General features: G+C 38.9%; 1 long non-coding RNA gene across 5 annotated transcripts in view; it reads right to left on the reverse strand.

Moving 5' to 3' along the window:
• The window catches only part of LOC107985176 (uncharacterized), a 78185-nt gene extending 58872 nt beyond the window's left edge, over positions 1–19313 (reverse strand). For 3 of the 5 annotated variants that reach the window (XR_001753338.2, XR_001753340.2, XR_001753339.2), the window contains exons 1-2: positions 18635–19313; positions 10294–10382 (exon numbers count right to left, since the gene is read on the reverse strand). This is a non-coding gene — a long non-coding RNA (uncharacterized LOC107985176). Of the gene's footprint in view, positions 1–10293; positions 10383–14127; positions 15206–18634 lie in introns of those variants that run through there. The other 2 variants (XR_001753336.2, XR_001753337.2) reach the window with 2 other exon arrangements.
• Between the last annotated feature and the right edge of the window lie 241 nt (positions 19314–19554).

Below are 19554 nucleotides of genomic sequence, written 5' to 3' on the forward strand. Positions count from 1 at the left end.
CGGCACATTCCTTCCAGAAGCTTCCAGCTGCCAGCAGAGGAGCATGGCAGATATAGCTGAGGACACGGGGGGTTTCCAGTGGCATAGTTACCACAAGTGCAGCCGGACAAAAATAGATGGAGATGTGGCAGGGCAAGTGATCTGAAATTTCCTTAGGACTCCTCTGCGACTAGGGGTATTTTTCATAGCATCTATTCTGAACTCCATCTGCCACTGTTTGACTGTTTGAAACAAGACATTCCTCTACTCAGAACATTATGTCAACTGACCATGATGAGCTGGGTCCTTTGCAGGTTCTGGGCTGTTTCCTGTGGCTCTCTGAGTTATTAGGATGCCCTGCTTTTATCACTTATGTGCCATTTTATTAAAGGTCATGCAGAAAAAAACTGCTTAAATTTTTTAAAATATGTAATTATTAATGAGATCTGACCTTGAGAGCAGCTATTCATCCCTGGAGTGTTGGGGAAAACAGGAGAAGTGTTTGCTGTCATTCTGCCAGGCCTTGGGTGTTCTTTCCTAACCAGCACACTGTGGGAGTTATATGGTGAGCCGTGGGGAGTGCTGTTTACTTGAGCTGTGATAGACTGTAAGATGGGGGTTGAGGGTCTCAGTGTGAGAACATGCTTGTAGCTATGATAACTCAAGACAGCCAAGTTTTTGAAACTACCTTGGTCTTAAATTCAAATTTGATTCCAAATGCTTGAAAAGTCTGTCCTGAATCAGGCCGAGTTGATGGTAAATTGTCTTTTCTTTAATCTTTGGAAATAATTCCTGATAAATATGATATTAAGAACTATGCTCATACGTTAACTTTTCTTAAAATCTTTCCATGAATTTACCAATTGTCTTTACACTAGAGCATGTGTGTGTGTGTGTGTGTGTGTGTGAGAGAGAGAGAGAGAGAGAGAGGAAGACAGAGGGAGAGAGAGACAGAGAGGCAAAGAGAGACAGAGACAGAGAGAGAATGAGATTTGGCAAGTGTCATGATTAATACCATTTTAGTAAGATGATCCCTGCAACCAAAATCACTCTAATTATACAAAACCATGATGAGAACTTGACTCCTAGCTTTAACACCACTGAATTCTGACTTAAACTGCCTCCCTTTTCTTTGCTATTGGGACACTTTTACTTTATTTTTTATTTTTTTAGAAATGGGGTCTCACTATGTTGTTCAGGCTGGACTCGAACTCCTGGGCTCAAGTGATCCTCCCACCTTAGCTTCCCAAGTAGCTGGGACTACAGGGATGAGCCACTGAGCCCAGCTGGGGCAATTCTATTGATATTACACATCACTGAAGAAAGTCTCAACAGAGCTGACAAGACCCTGTTAAAACAGTGTTGTTTTCAGCAGGGAACACTGCTGATCGAAGTACACATCCAGCATGACTAAAATTCCACCTTTCTTTTGTACCACCTCAAATTTGTCCTATAGAAGTACTGGTATCTTTATTTAAAAAACAGAAAAACAAACCAAACTAAGATGAATTGAGTACCTTCTGTGCACCAGATATTTTATTTTCATCCTCTCTGTAATCCTCCCACAAAAGCTATGAGTTATTACTGCCAATTTACAGAATATGAAAATGAAAGAAGTTATAATGCTAGGTTTTTCTAATCCCATTTTCCAGCATATTGTGCTTTTAAAGTAGTAAAATATGGTATGGGATGACAAAAAAACCATTATTTTTGTGAATCATTCTAAATTCAGAATCACATAATTATATGAATTTATATCCCCCCTCAAAAAAAGAGTATATGCTGTGCAAGTTGAGATAGGACTGAGGCCTCATGAGCCCCAGAAAATTGTCTGATACGACGTTACAAAGCTTCTATTGCAAGCGTAAGCCTCACTCTAGTTCAGAGACTTCCAAAGAATTGAATCACCAATGAGGCAATGTTGAAAATGCTGCGGCTGATAATATATTGGAAATTCCACCCCTAGTTGATGGAATTAAATAAATCAAAGATGAATCAGAGATGGACTGCAGTTTCCTACTCATGAAAATATAGCAGTCTCTGCTACCAAAAAAAAAAGTTGTTGAAAAATGTCTCCTGTATATTAACAAGATAGAGGTGTTTGAAGATGATGGTGTTCATAGAAGATATCTGGAATGCTGTTTGCTCACCATCCCAAGATTGGTATGAGGTTAGAAAGAGCTTTTTCAGCAGCTGAACACATTTGCTCAATATACCACTCAATGACTCAACAGTGGTGCTGTGATTCACTTTCTTTCTTAAGATCGTACATTAAAAGATTCAATAATATATTTGCATTAAAATGCTTTCAAGATTAATTACATGCTTCTAATTTTAATGTTATTTAATGTCTTAAATAACACTTTACAATGTTAACTTCACCTGATATGACTTTATATTAGAGTAATAACATATGTCTAAGTACATATTTATATTTTGGAGGGACATTTTTATTTATTTTTGAAATTTATAAATTATTATTTTAAATGTATTTGTTTCAGTTAAAAATGAGCTTTAAAATGAGTCTTTAAAAAATACAAGCCACGATACAATTTTAATTTGAATTTATTTCATGATGAGTGAGGTTGAGAATCTTCTGGTGTGTCTAAATGCTATTTGCATTTTTTCCTGCAAACTTTTTGCTCATAACTTTTGCCTCTTTTTCTATTGTGTTGTTGGTTTTTTTCTTACTGATTTTTCAGCTCTTTGAGATATATATTGCACATTTTTACAATTTGTATCTTCCTTTTGCCATGTAGAAGTTTAAAAATATTATGCATGTTTGTCAGGGTAAGAAATGCTAGCTGCTATTGGCCAGGTGCGGTGGCTCACGCCTGTAATCCCAGCACTTTGGGAGGCCAAGGCGGGCAGATCACAAGGTCAGGAGTTCAAGACCAGCCTGGCCAACACAGTGAAACCCCATCTCTACTAAAAATACAAAAAAAAAAAAAAAAAAAAAAGCCAGGCATGGTGGCTTCCACCTGTAATCCCAGCTACTTGGGAGGCTGAGGCAAGAGAATTGATTGAACCTGGGAGGCAGAGGTTGCAGTGAGCTGAGATCGCACCACTGCACTCCAGCCTGGGCAACAGAGCAAGACTCTGTCTCGGGAAAAAGCAAAAAAAAAATGCTAGCTGCTGTTAACATACGATCTGAATAGTTCATTTAGCTTAGTACAATAAAATTTATTGCTTACTCTCATTATAGTCAATACTGTTTGCTAGGAGGGGAGGGGGGCACTGATAGGGACTCTGAAACTTGTAGTCATTTAAAAGCCAGGCTCTTTCCATCTGTGACACTGCCATTATCAACAGGAAACCTCCAAGTTTATTGTAAAAGGAGAAAGAGGAGAGGACTGTGATCGTGCATGGGAGACTTTTATGGGCCAGTCCTAGAAATGGTGTATGTCAATGCAGTCCATATTCCACTGGCCTAAATTGTCAGAGAGGTGGGAAATATAGTCTTCTTCACACCCAGGAGAAAAATGAAACCATTTGCAAACATGGTATCATTTTCACAGAACTGAGTATTTTCAAATTTTTCAACTTTTTTTAATGGTTTCTGAATTTCATGTCATGTTTAGAAAGGCCTTTTCTATTTCAAGGTTCTAAGAAATTATTCCATGTCTCCTTTTAATGCTGATATAACTATCTCTGCTTTTAAGATTTTTTTTTCTTTACCACTGATTTTCAGTCATTTGATTATGAAATGACTCGGGGTGTATGTGTGTTATAGGCAGAGAGAGAAACAGAGAGAGAGAAAGGACACTGTATTTAATCTATTCAAGACAGATTGGATCTATGAGTTTAAAGTTTTCAACAAATCTGGAAATTTTCTGGTCGTTGTTTCCTCAAATTTTTTTCTGCTTCCTCTTCTTTTCTATTTTTGGAACACCAGGTATACATGGTTAGACTATTGAATATTGTCTCACAGGTCATTGAGGCTCTTCTCATTTTTTTTTCAGAATTTTCCCCACTCTATGGGCCACATTCTGGATAGATTCTATCACTATTCCTTCAAGTTCATCGTTCTTTTCTTCTTCAGTGTCTAATCTGCTATTAATGTTATCCAGCTATCTTGTTGTTTCAGATATTGTAGTGTTCATCTCCAGAAGGTCCATTCTCTTCTACTTTATGTCTCTCATTTCTCTGTTCAATGTGAACGTATTTCTTTTAAATACTTGTACATAGTTATAAAATCTATTTTAATGTCCTTGTATGGTAACTCTATCAATGCAATAATCTCTGGGTCTGTTTCTATTTTCTGATTTTTCTTCTGGTAATGTGTTGCATTTTCCTGCTTCTTGGTGTATCTAGTAAGTCTAGAGGTTGCACATTTTTATTAAGTCTCTAAATTGTATTGTTTTCCTTTTAAGAGAGCTGAACTGTGTTTTGGCATGCAGTTAACTTCCACACATGGCAGTTGATCCTTCAGGGACTGTTTTTTAAGCTTTTGGTAGCAGAAGCATGCAGTATGTTTTACTCCAGGAATAGTGCAGCCTTTCTGTTACTGCCAACAAGTGACCCATCTGAGGTCTTTACTAAGTGTCCTAAGGGATCACTGAGTACTCTCCATTCTGGTCTTTCTGATCTAGAACTTCTCTCTGCTGTGAGATCTTGGAAATGTTCAGCTCACCTAGTCATTTTTTGCACTACTTTGTAGAGAGGTCCTCTATGCAGGCATGGCCCAGTAGTCAGCAAAGACTCTGCAGCATAACTGCACAGATTTCTGTAATTTCACTTCGGTATCACTCTGTTCTTTTCTGTGTCTCTGCCCTTCAAACTCTGACTACCTCAACCTCTCCTAACCCTGATCTCTGTCTCCTCAACCCACTGAGGCCACTGGGCCCTGTTTGGAATTCCCCTACCTACGCCTTATTTGGGAAATTGCTTGCAGAAATATGGGACTATCATAGGGCTTCCTTTTTTTTTCCCCTTTTTTAGAGATCATAGTCCTGGGCTGCCTGCTGGTCAGTGTCTGAAACAATTTTTTCATACCTTTTTGTCTAGTTTTTTGTGGTGGGAAGTTAAGTTTTATCCTTTTTATTTTGTCACATCTGGCTGTGGAAGTTTAAGTTTGTAATGCTGCAATTGTGTTTTGTAATTAGAACTTCCAGATTTGGTCTGAAGGTTGAATCTTTAAAAAAAAATGAATAAGCAAACCAAATAAATATTATTTATCACATTAAAAAGTCATGCAAACTTTATTCATCATAGAATTAGAATGTGGTTCCATCCATAAGCCAGATAGAATGAAATGTAAACGTAATGCTATGCAACTTAAACTCTGCTGGTCAAGGGAGTGTCTTCCAACCATCTCACAGCAATTCCATTTTATTTTCTTTCTAATGTTATACATTTCTCCTGGTCATATTCAACTGTAACTAATTTTTACATAAGTGTATCCTGTATTGTCCTCTTTCTTGGATTCTTCCTTTATCTCGCTAGAATATTGTTGCAGGGGTGGGAGGCAATTCTCCATGTGTTATCCAAGACTCTCTTTTCAAGGACATTTGTACAGCAAGATTAGTGTCTTCCTCTGAGGCAGAGAGCAAGTTTGATTCCTGACCAGGATAATAAAGATAGCTTCTTCCTCCATAGGAAAAGTTGGCTGGGTTTACTGGCAGACTTCTTAAGATTGGGGGTTTCCTAAACTCAGGGATCCTTGGCTGTGAATGCAGACCCACTGTAAACACAGCACCAGCCCGGGCAGCCCTGCGTCTCCCCTATGGAGGCACAAAGGTACCAATGCAAACAGGAAGCTCATGCTGCCTGCTGTGCGGTGAATAATGAAGTTGTTTGTCTCTGACTGGGAGTCTCATTTCTTCTGCCAGCATCTCTGAAATTGGTAGACTAACTGAGCTGCAAGCAGGGTAAACTCTCAGACCTTTCATTGTTCCTAACAAGCACTGTAGAGCGATATTTTCATCCATGTGCCCAAGATGATAATTTTCATGTCTGAAAGTGTTTTGTTTTGCCTTCACATTTGATTATTTTGACTGAATGAAGATATTCTAGAATCAAAATATTTTTTTCCCTCAGAACTTTGAATTTTTTTTAATGTATAATACCTAGGGTTTCCAGTTAGAAGTTTGATGCTAGTCTGTTCTCATTCCTTTATAAGAGACCTTGCTTTCTCTCTAGAGTTCTCTGTCCAAGAAGCTTTTTGTTGTTTTCCTTAGCCTGGCTTAGTGTTTGAAATTCCAGTTGGAAGATTCCTGTTCTGTTTTTTAATCTCCAAGAGTTTTCTTTCTGTTACTTCCTTATTTCTTCTCCTCTTTTCCCTGTTCTTCCTTGCTGAAAATTCCTATTGGATATATTTTTAATCCCCTGCATCTATCCTTTATGGCTTTTAAAGTTTTTTTAAATTTTAATCTTTTTGTCTTTGGGTACTATAACGGGATGTTTCCTTAACTTTGCCTTCTAGATTAATAATTTTATCTCCGGTTTTTTTTTCCATTCTGAGTAGTGTGATGAATTGTCTAGTTTTTAAATTCAGCCCATCCACTGATGTATGTATAAACGAACCTATATATGTATGTTTCAGGAAATCATATATTTTTAGTTCCAAGCACACTTTATTCAAACTTCCACCTAGCCAGAATTCAATTACTTCTCACCAAGTTTATTTATCTATAATGTCCAGATCTAAGTCACATCACCCCTCAACTGGGCTGTTTTAATTTTTATCTGTTTATTTTCTGATACAGAGTCTCGCTCTGTCACTCAGGCTGGAGTGCAGGGGCGCAATCTTGGCTCACTGCAGCCTCCACCTCCTGAGTTCAAGCGATTCTCCTGCCTCAGCCTCCTGAGTACCTGGGATTACAGGTGCGTGCCACCACGCCCGGCTAATTTTTTATTTTTAGTAGTGATGGGCTTTCGCCCTGTTGGCCAGGATGATCTTGAACTCCTGACCTTGTGATCCACCCGCCTCAGCCTCCCAAAGTGCTGAGATTACAGGCACGAGCCACCACGCCCGGCCTTCAACTGACTATGAAAATAACCTAACTCCTCGTATCCCTTGCCCTCCCTGTCCCCAGCGTCTGTTCTCCACCTAGAAGAAGTTCAGAGTGATTTTTTTTTTTAATGTAAGTAACGTCACTGCATTCCTCTGCCTAAAATACTCCAGTGGCTTCCCATCTCATTCAGAATAAAATTTGAAGTCTTTGCCGTGGCCTACTAAGTCTTATTTGATAGGGACCCCCACTATTTCTTTTATCATGTCTTCGACACATCACCTTCTCCCTCACTCTATTTCAACCACACTCACCCCAGGGCGTTTGCACTTCTCCTTTAGACTTGGAATACTCTTCCTCCAGATATGTGTGTGACTTGCTTCCCCAATTCATTCAGATCTCAGCGACGTCTTTTGTGGCCCTTCTATTTAAGATTCCAACCCTACTGTTCACTCTCTTACTCCATTCTCTGCTTTATTTTTCTCCATAATATTTTATGTACTGATGATATACCACATCTTATTGATTAATTGGTGGATATCATGCCCTTGTTTAATTTTAAAGAAGGCAGAAATTTTTTTCTGTTTTGGTTACTCCCTTATCCCTGACATCTAGAATGGTGCCTGGCACGTGATAGACACTAATACACATTTGTCAAATTGGTGAATTAACAAATAAGCAAATAACCTGTTCTCACATGTTTTACTGTGATATCCTCTAGATCAGAGTCTCTCTGAGACACTGTGACCATTTTTAAGGTTCTATTCTGTTTATGGAACAAATTCTATTTTCTCTGAAATTAGTAATGAGGATTTTTCACCTTGGTCTTTCTATTACTTGTTCTCAGTTTTCCTCAAAGATTTGCTTCTTCTTGGTAGTGTTATTTCTTTAACTACAGAAACTTTAGCTACAGTTTCCTCTTCTTTTTGCATTAAATTTATCCATCCACTTCTATCTTCTAGGTATTCCTTAATGTTTCTGGGCTACTAACGGCACATGTACGGTTGTATACTTTTCAAAATATCTTTTTGGTAATTTTCAGAGAGACCTGGGGCTCACTCTACATCTTGCATGGGAAGCCTCTTGCGGTAAGTCTCAAATCTGATCACATTTTTTCCTAAATGTCTCGGAGTTGTCAACTTGGCTCTTTCATCAAGGATATCTTAATGTAATAAAGGTTGTTGAGAGATCATTGGGTAGGATCTGTTTCCTTTCATAAATATTCTTGTCTTCTTTCCTGAGCCTTCGGGATGAAACAGAATCAAAAAACCAAAACAACAAAGGGCAACTTTTGTTAACTGGACATCTGTCTCGAGGCACATGTCTTTTCTAAACTCTGCCACATCAGCATTCTGTTGTAGTCTTCTGCTTTTAAATATCATTGAAACTTAACTACTTGAGTGGGTTTTCTGCTTTTGTCTTATCTTTTCATCCTAAATATGAAAAAGACACCAAGTGACATTTGAAAAGAACCATGACCAGTTTATAGGAGGAAACTATGGCATCATTTTATGTTCATTTATTTTCCATTTCCTCTTGTTTATGTTATTTTTTCATATTCTTTGAAGTTGGATTAACTGTGTCCTCTGAATTCCAGGATTTCTATCAGATGAGTTATTTAATTAACCCACAATCCTTTATAGAACACTGTCAATGAATAGCTCATCCTTGAAATTAATCTGGCACATTCAAAGAGATTTCTGGTTTCAAGAATTTTTGGCCTAAAATTATTTTCAGCTGATAAATAATATTCTAAAATAGTTAAATCTGCAGTTGGTTGTGTGAGGCTTCGTAATCTCCCAAAGTAGCTGGGGCAAATATGATCCAAAAAGGAAGCCAAAAACTAGAGAAAAGCCTAAAGCTTAATAAGCAATATTTGGAATAACTGTGTACCCTTTTAAGTGACTCAAAGTCAAAGCTAAGTAAACTCACTCTATGAATATATTTGGACAGTTATTTAGTACAAAAAAAGAATACATTGTAGAGAATATATTTTACTTCCAATACATGTTTTTTCCTTGAATCTCTATAGATCTAAATGAGTTGATACATTCTGAATTAGAATGAACCACTTTGGATTAATATCAAATATATGAAGAAGCCAAAACTTCTTCATCTCTTTAAGTGATGGCATGGAACAGAATTCCACTAAAGAGCTATCATACTTTAGAAACCATTTCCATTTCTCTTTCTTTCATCTTTGTGAATTCTTAATTCTTTTCCTGCATGAACATATTATTCCCTAATGAGGACATTACCATTTTTCTCTTTTCTTACCCACAGGCTGTTAAAATCAACTGAGCTCTTAATGATTTAGTTAAGAGAAAACACCCTAATTGGAAACCATCCTCCCTCTGCAGCCAGTTTTAGAATTTTTAGCTTCACAGCTATAGCTTAAGAGAAACTTAGCAAAGAACCTCAAGATGCTAAGTATGTGGTTATATAATTTACATAGACTTATATCACATTAACATATGCATTTCAATTTTTTGAAAATTAATCTAGGGCAAACTGATGAGGGCAATTACTGGGGGTATTTTAGGATTTTCCCTTGTGATCCACTCAAGCACATCATTTACTTTTTAAAATGTGTATTAGCTTGTTCTAATGAAGAGTGTCTCAAATAGACATAAATATTATTGGTTAGCATTCATGAGGCTGCATGGGATAATTCTTTAATGTTGAGAATTATAGTCCAGCAGTCCTACATTCCCTCTGGTCACAGAATCACAGGGCAGGGTAGACAGATCTTTGGAAAATGCAGAGGCCTGCCTGGTGCTTACCCTCTGTGAGGGTTTAATTATTCTGGCAGAGGTAGTGGAGTACCTGGGTGTCCTTTCAAAGGCCCCTGAGACATTCTTTTTCTTTTTCCCTTTTTTTTTTTTTTGACACTAGGTCTCATTTTGTCACCCAGGCTAGAGTGCAGTGGCACCACCTTCGCTCACTGCAACCTCTGCCTCCCAGGATTAGGCAATTCTCCTGCCTCAGCCTCCCAGGTAGCTGGCACCACAGGCATGCATTAGCACACCAGGCTAATTTTTTGTAATTTTTGGTAGAGTTGGGCTTTTGCCACGTTACCCAGGCTGGTCTTGAACTTCTGAGTTGAAGTGATCTGACTGACTCCGCCTCCCAAAGTGTTGGAATTACAGGTATGAGCCATGACTCTCAGCCCTGCTTGGCCATTCCAATGAGCAGCTGGAGTAGAGTCTACATGCAGTAGGGCACCAGTGTAAAGCATATTACATATTTCAAAATCACTGCAACCACAAAATAGTGATTGAGTAATTATAAACACATTTCAGTGGAGGCAATATTGTAAGCATTTTTTAAAATTAATGAACCCCTTTGAAAATCCTCTTACCCCTAGCGTGAAGTCCAAACTGCCAATTCTTTCCTTTCTTCCAGTCATCCATTGGTAGCATTGAAAATGATACGGACTTCTCAGCTATCCTAAATGATATGGAAGAAATGTCTAAATTTTTGGTATGTGTTTTATGTCTGTTATGACTTCATGCAAAATCTAAGTAAATTTTTATACATCCTCACATACACTGGATAGAAGTAATGTTATTTCTGCACATAATGGATAAGGGGTATAAGACTTAATGTCTACTCGGTAAAACTGTGGACTATTAAGAGCTTCCTAACTCTGATTCTTTTTACTCTTTTCTCATTCAATTGACTTTTTCTTTCTCATTGGAGTTGTCCGAGGTCTGTGGTAATGCCTAGTGTTGGACATAATCACGTAGTCAGTTTTTCTAATATTAATGTTTCTAATCAAATTCAGGGTTACACTTGGCTTAGTACCAGAACAGCTGGGAATTCTGAGTGCCACTAGGGAACATAACCAGCTGCCTATAACTTCGAAAAGCATATTTTGGCCACTTTTACATGGTTATGTAAACACAGACATATCCAGATCTAAGAAAGCAAGCCGCACCAAGATTATACTTGAACTAATTAAATATTTATATTCAGGTCATCCTAGCATTGTTCCTTTATTGACTTAATAGGCATGTGCTTTCCAAAGCCACTGGCAGGAATCAATCAATGATCGTAATGAACTGATCTTAAAATTAAAGACATAAACACAAAAATAAATCATGGAACTACATTTAAGTGCCCCTCAACAAGGTTAAATATCTATCCCTTTCAGATAAATATGGAGAAACTATATATTCTTCTGACAAGGAAAACCAAAATTATGGAATAAATATGCTATAGCAAATACGTTGTTTGTACTTTTGAAAGTTTTTTAAATGGCTTAGGCCAAAACAAGTTTCTGCCAGTCATTAAATTATTTTAGGGCAAGGTGATTGACGCCTGTAATCCCAGCACTTTGGAAGGCCAAGGAAGGAGGATCGCTTGAGCTCAGGATTTTGAAACCAGCCTGAGCAACATGGCAAAACCCCGTCTCTACAATAAAATACAAAAATGAGCCAGGCATGGTGCACTTGCCTGTAGTCCCAGCTACTTGGGGGGCTAAGGCAGGAGAATCACCTGAGCCCAGGAGGTCAAGGCTGCAATAAGCCGTGTTACCACCACTGCACTCTAGCCTGGATGACCAAGCAACTACTTTTGGGAGATTTCATATGTTTTCCTCGTATTCCTATTTTTGCCCTTAAAATTAAGCCTAAAAAATTTTCTCCGCAAATGGTATCAGGGAGGAAACAGAGTGAAATAGTTCCAGCCTCCACTTGTAAGCCAGCCAGTTAGTCAACTGCACTTATTGAATGCCAGGTGGCTAATTATACCCAGAGTAGTTTATTTTGCCAGCATCGGACTGCTTTCCTACATGATCATTTTGGTACCAAATTTTGCATCTGCAAATGGACAAATTATGAATGCAAATTAGAAATTTATACTCTGTAAAATTAACCTTACATGTAGAAACTAATTTTTGTATTTGAATGTGCATCCATATCTTACCTTCATAGAAATAAAATTACTGAATTAAGGTAAAATGCATACATAAAACCTATCAGCATGTTATCACTTCATGCATGTGACACCAATATAGCAGTGACCTTTGGAAAGTACATCTGTAGCGATTTAATCAACTTTTCATTTAATGTAGTATTTCCTAAGGTACATTTCATGGAATTGTAAAATGTCCTATGTGAGAAACAAAAGGTAGGGGAGAAAAAGGGGGTTCTGATCATGAGGGTTTGGGAAATACTGTCTTTGAGTTTTAAAATACAGCACTCTTTAATTTCTTTAATGTGCAAATATCCTCTGTGAATCTGCAAGAGGACATTAGAATATGTAGCATTTCCCAAATGCATTTGACCTTCTAGGACCTAGTCAAGTGTGGGGCCTGGGGAAAAGCTGATTTAATGAGTCAACACCACACAGTTAAGATCATTTCCATTCCCATCTCCATGTTACTATAATTGTTGCTTTTAACCTATACCACAAGCTCACCTGCACTTCAATAGTCATAGAGATTTTACTAATCTCCTAAGAATATATGCAAAGACAGACGCAGTGGTATAAAGCAGATAGCTCATTTCTTTAGAGTTTTTCTAAAACTGGTACAACCCCCACTTGGACACGATGTCTAGGACCTGGGAGTAAGCAGTTCACATGATGCTGTCATTAAACTTCAGGAGTCATCCTGGCCCCAGAGTTTAGCCCATTTGCATACCTTGCGTCCAGTAGTCACTTCTATGCCCAACATTTGACAGTCTTGTCATTCATGACTCTTGCTAGATAGAGTTTAAAGAAACAGCTATGATCATGCACACAGTCCTTTGGGTGGTGTCTACTCAGAAATTAATTTTCAGGCAGCCCCTGGCTAATTTCCCATTACATCAGCTGAAGGATTTGTCTCATTAACCACTCTCAAATATACACTGTAGTAGTTTCCAAGGGTTGCCATAGTAAAATACCACAGACTGGGTAGCTTAAACAACATCAGTTTGTTCTCTCACAGTTTTGGAGGCTAGAAGTCCAAGATCAAAGGGTGAGCAGGGTAGATTTCTTTTGAGACCTCTCTGTGGCTTGTAGATGGCTGCCTTCTCCCTGTGACCTTAAGTCATCTTCCTGCTTTGTGCATTTTGCTGGTGTCTCTTGTGTCTTAATATTTTTTTCTATAGGGGCATAAGTCAGCTCGGATTAGGACACAATCTAATGGTGTCATTTCAGCTTAATCACCTGTTAAGATGCCCTATCACCAAATATAGTCACATTCTGGGGTACTGCGGTTTAGGGCTTCAATATATGGGGACACAATATAAGGGACACAATTCGGTCCATGACACACACTTAGCACCTTGGGGCACTACCTGCACTGCTCCGAGCTCCTGGGGAAAGTGGAGTTCTTCTCTGCAGTCCAGGATCCCTGAGCTAATAGGGGTCATGTGGTTCTGGAGTGGACACCAAGAGGCTTGCTAATGACAGACTATTTGGGGGCAAGTGGGTAACTTCTTTTACGGAGTATCCTGATGCCACTTTTGAAAATCAGCTTGATTCATGTATAACTTACAAACAATAAATTACACCCGATTCAATGAATTTTGACGAATAATATACTCATATAATTACCACCACAATTAAGATTTGAACATTCTTATTACACTGTCATCAGTCTCCTCAACCCTTGGCCTACTGTAACAAATGATCTGCTCTCTCTTGCAATAATTCTTCCTTTTCCAGAATGCTCTGTAAGTGGAAGAATACAGTGTGTACTCTTGTGTCTAGCTTCTTTTGCTTAGTATAATTTAACATTTTTGAGATTCACCACTTTCATTGCATATGGCAGAAGTTCAACCCTCTTTAGTGCTGAGTAATATTCCTTTGTGTGGCTGTCATACAATTTGTTTATCTGTTCACCTGTTGATGCACATTCACCTGCTGACACACCTGTTCTTCTAGTTTGAGGCTGCTATGGACACTGGTGTTCAAGACTTTGTGTGGAAAGAACTAAATGCCTAGAAGCAGAATTTTGGAGTTATATGGTAAGAATGAGTTTAATCTTTTAAAACCACCAGTCAGGTTTCCAAAATGGCTGTACAATTTCGTCTCTCCACCAGCAATGACATGGGTTCCAATTGCTCCCCTGGACAACTGTTAATAAACAATCTTTTAAAATACCAGAGTCAGTATTTTTCATTGTAGCCAGTTCAGTAGGTATATAATGGTATCTCATTAAAGTTTGCATTTCCTAATGACTAATGATACTTAGCATTTTTTGTTGCTTCAAGTAACATTCTTTTATTTCACATTAGTCAAAATTTACTTTTAAATGTTCAATGCTTAACAAGAAACTTCATGGCAAAAAAAAAAATCACATGAGTTCAACCGTATTGTAGTTTTTAAAAAGTCTCCCTTAAATATATAGAATGATTGGGAAGTCCTATTGCTGTCTTTTGGCAGACATGTTGGCCCTGTCATGAGAAAGAATTTCTCTGCAGAGAACAGGGTCCCTCCCCAATCAGGAAGAGAGAAGTGTTTTGAGGAGAAACAGCATTTTATTTCACCAAACCCTGGCTATCTCACGTGGGCTGATATGAAAGATTGACAGGTGCCTAACCAATATTCAATCCCCTTTTTGTGCTTTGTAAGAGAACCCAGCTTTTATTCAGGCCAGGGGGATGTATCCAGCTGAAAGACTGTATTTCCCAGACTTCCTTGTAGCAAGGTGTAGCCATTTAACTAAGTCCTGGCCCACAAGTATGATGGAACATCCAATAACATCCAACAAATGTTGGACGAGACATCCAGGAATGCTGTATAGAAAGCTCTTCTCCTATTTGTCTTCCTCTCTCTCTCCTCTTCTCACTGCTTGGATGGCAGGTAGAATGGCTGGAGCTTTAAAAGCTTATGATGCCCTTGAGGATAGAAATGACAAGCTAAAGTTGCAGATAGACAAAATCTGGGTTGCTAATGAACCTACGAGCCTCCCTTCCCAGCCCTGTCTGCCTAACTCATCTTCTGTGATGCGAGAAAAGTTTCATGAGAAAATGATGCTCATGCAATTGGTATTTGTGGATTTCTCTTTTGTACAGCCTGGACCAATTCTAATTGTTACTGCCAGTAAAGTAGAGGCATGAACACTACTGCCAGCTACAATGTCCCCGAAACCCCCCAAGAACTCTCGCCAACAGTACAGGGGGAGGGTCCAAAGCTGACGAGAGCAACGGAAACCAGCAAGCAGCATTAGCCACGTGGAGCATTCGTGAGTAGATTCTGATCTACTGGGTGATTTTGTTTTATTCTAGCACAGAGCTCTCCTTCAGACCTGAGACTGCGTTCATGAACACTCTGGCCCCCTGAAAAATAAAATAACTACATCATTAAGTTGATTTCATAAAAATCAGCTCAGGCAATCAGCATGGTATAAAGAATAGAGCATTAAACTAACAATCAAGATGTTGGGGTTTAGTACTCTTTCCCCATTTAAACAACTTTGAACAAATTGTTTATGTTTTCTAAGCATTAAATGAACAATTCCATTGCTAGCAGGAATTATACATGTTAATCTTTAATTTGATCCCTCTTTTCTCTCCAATGATAGCCCAATCTTGACATTAGATGGAAGTGACTAGAAAGACAATGGTAAGGTGAAGTCATAGGAAGAAAGGAAAACAAGCTAAAAGTATATTTTAATGTAATACTACACACTATATATAATAGATTTAAATAATATATAGATATATATTTACATTAACATAATATATACATTTATTTCATCTAATATATTTATTTATATATTAAGAAATTTATTTCTTAATATATTTATAATAAGAATTATAATATATAATATATAATAATTATTATATTTATAATTGAGAAGAAAGATTTTAAATACATATTAAAGCAGAAATATAGTAAACATATAAATATATATTTCTATAATATAGAAATCCATTATATATTTCTATAATATATAAATCCAACTATATATTTAATATATTTCTTCCTATATACACATAATAGATAATAATATATATTATTTTATATCATCTTATATGCTAAGGTGATTTAGGCTGGTGAAAAGAAAATAAGCTTCTTGTGAAACTGATTCTGTCAGTAAGAACAGTAATAAAGAAATAGCTGTAATGTCAAGATTTCTGTCTTCTTTTCCACCCTCAATATTTTTGTGTCTTATTATAGAGGCACACAATAGTATCAGTGTTAGTTGCAAAAATAGGCACAATTCTCCCCCTCCTTATATGCATGCCCAGGCTATCCTGCAGTTTTTCTGCTGGCCCTGCTGACAGCCAGAAGCCCCCAGTGGCTGAGCTGCCCATCTGGCAGCTGACCTTAGACACATGAGGGAGCCCAGTCAAGACCCAAAGGGTCACCTGGATGAGCTGAAATTACTGACCTACAGAATCATGAGCTAAGTAAATGGTTGTTTTGTTAAGCCACAAATTTCTGGGGCTGTTTGTTATTCAGCAAAAGCTAACTGATACTTAAACCTGTGAATTTTTGAAACCCAATCTCCTTATGTGTAATTTTTCCTTTCCCGGATTTGAAAAAGAAACAAGAAGGGGGCTTTTTAGTACAAAATTCCTCCCCAGCAAACCATCATGTCTAGGGCAACAAAACATTAGTAGAGATGAAGGGACTTTTCTGTGTTCACCTTATGGCCAACAAGGCTACTGAGTTTCTATTTTACTGCACTGAAGCAAATGCCTGAAGATCACTGTATTTATCTTTTCTTTATAAATGAGGTTGTATTACTTTGTAATCCCCTGGTAGGTTTTGCCATGAACACCCCCCTCCAACATGAACTGCCTGTGCTTCCTGCACCTGTGCTGGTGGCCTGGGAGTCATTCTCCACCATCAGTATCCTGTGAAACCAACCAACTCCCAGGAGCCTGTTTTCATGGCCACGGGCTGATGTAGGCTCACCTCCAAATGCAGGAAAGGAGCAAACTGCTTTTATTTTCAAGCTCCAAAGTTTATTTTTGAAATACAAGTTTGTCTTCCCAGGAAATCCTGAAGTTTTTCTGAGCATGTGAATGTATAGGTGCCTTAGGTCATTCTTGCACTGCTATAAAGAAACACCTGAGACTGGGTAATTTACTAGAAAAGAAATCTAATTGGCTCACAGTTCTGTAGGCTGTACAGGAAGCATAGCAGCATCTGCTTCTGGGGGAACTCCAGAAACTTTTACTCATGGTGAAAGGGACAGGGGGAGCAGGCACTTCACATGGCAAAAGCAGGAGCAAGAGAGAGAGAACGAGTTGGGGGAGGGAAAGGGCCACACACTTTTAAATGGTCAGATCTCCTGAGAGCTCAGAAAGAGAGCTCATTTATCACCAAGGCGATGGCCCAAGCTGTTCCTGAGGGATCTGTCCCCATGATCCAAACACCTCCCTCCAGGCCCCACCTCCGACACTGGGGATTACAATTCAACATGAGATTCGGGTGGGGAAAAATATTCAAACTATATTAATAGGTTAATTAAAGAATTTGTTTTGTTATGCCCCACCTCATCACGCAGAGGATTCACAGTGGCTGTGGAGGGCTTGCAGTACACGTAGACATATTAGGAGCCCTCCACGGGATATAAATTTAATGGTGCTATGCAAACTCCTCTCTCTCAAGTATCTGTCTCATGCCCATCACCATGCCTGGATTCACTCTACTAACCCGTTATTCCCTCTGATCTTAGAGGTTTTTTTGATGTTTAAGAGTTCCTCATCACCAGTAAATCTCCCTGCTGTCATCACTTAGCACATCCACGGGAATGAGCTGATTGCTAGCTGGAAGAAAGAGTAGGCTGTAGGATAGGTGCTGAGAGAGGTGTGTGGTGCCATTTCAATTTCATGTATTTCACCGTGTTTGAGGGGTGCCTTCATTTTAAACTGTAGAATTTATCTCTAGGAGGCCCTGCAGATTACCGGCTATTGTTTCCAAGTCTCTTTCACATTCAGCAGATGATAATACACTTTCCTTCCTTGAAAGGTATTAGCATTCCCTCATTATTACTTTGGAAGCAGCTTTATTTCATTGTTGAGCTTGTGTTCCAAGCACAAAATGTCTTAGGGATCCTCGGAGGCCATCTCCTCTGATCCACTTTCCACCCTGACTTCATAAACTGGGAAGTGAGGATCAAAGAGCTGAAGAGACTTCCCTGGACTCTGAACCTCCCCGACCAACTGCCTCGCTCGTCTACTTAAATACACACACACACACACACACACACACACACACACACACACACACGCCCCTACCTCTGAGAATCCTGGGATTTGGAGGAATGTAGTTTGGGATTTAGAAAGCAAGAAAGAGAGAAGGGAGAAAGAAGGAGACAGGTAGAGGAAGGGACAGGAGAAAAGAACGAAGGCAAAAGGCCGGCAACTTTCTCACCCTAAATCTCATATCAAATTAATCTTTTCCTGAAGAGACAATAGGGTGCAGTCTTTAAATGTCCAGGCTTGAAACCAGGCTGCCAGCTTAAAATCCTGCTTCTACTGCCCACAAGCCATGTGAACACACAACTCACTGAAACTCTCTTTTCTGTCTCAACCTACATAAGACCAGGATGAGAATACGAGAGAACCTACCTCATGCGTGGTTGTTCAATTAAATGAATATACGCACATGTGCAGTACAACAGTTCCCAGCACTCACAAAAACCTGTGTACATAGTAGTCTATGTGATTCTTCCCGAATTTTTTAGGCAGACTAAATCTCATCTCCCCAATTCCGCAGTACAACCCCCTTTGTCTTCGCATGTAACTTACCGTACTGTGACTGTTTGCCTGCCTTTCTCCCTACCAGACTGTGAGTCCCTGGAGGGCCTTCCTTTTTATTTTAATCTTCAGAGGCTGACACAGTACTTAGCACATAGTAAGTCCTCCGAAAATACCATTTCAATGAATGAATGATTCAATGATTTCATAATACTGATAGAACAGAGTCCATATTTCTTAACAGCTCATCTGTCAGATCCCTCAGAATATGACTGCAACGTCACTTTTGAATGTCCTCTGCCACCTTCCCACCTCTGCATCTTACGTTCTATCATAAAAGTGCCATATGCTCTTCGCTGCCATGATATGCTCGTGCTGTTCCCACTCTGATGTAAAATGTCCTTCCCTTCTTTCTCTGCCCGGTGAATTTCTTTACTTCCTCAGGCCTTCTTTGAATGTCATCACTTCTGTGAGTTCTTCCAGACTGCTCCAAGCCCCCAGCCAGAACATATTGCCTTTTTTGATGTGCTCTCCTAGGTCTTTGTTCGCTAGCATGCAGCTTGTGAAAATAAACTGTGCTTGGTCGCATGCCTGTCTCTCTTTCTCCCTCTTTTACTTGTCAGCTTCTCCTGGAATAAGCATGTCTGGACTGCCAGATTTCAATAAATATTTGTTGAAGATTAATGCCTGGGACTTCACTGCTTTGGGTGATGTTTAGATTTCTGTCTGCCACGTCTACTCAAGGCTCAGTAGGTTATTTCTGCTGGCCAGGCTAATCAAAGGCATTTGCTGATGCAAGCTAGGTGGTCTGTGCCTGGTAGAGTCACAGATCACTAAGCCTTATCCTTAGTATTCAGTGAGTTGTTTAATAAGCCAGTTTTTTCAGGGAGTTTCTTTTGTTGTTGTTCTTTTCTGTACTATCCCCTCAAACTGGAGCCAATGGGTCTGAAGGATGCTTCCTGGAGATGTGC

Source organism: Homo sapiens, chromosome 18 (assembly GCF_000001405.40).
Source record: "Homo sapiens chromosome 18, GRCh38.p14 Primary Assembly".
Classification (NCBI taxonomy): Eukaryota; Metazoa; Chordata; class Mammalia; order Primates; family Hominidae; genus Homo; species Homo sapiens.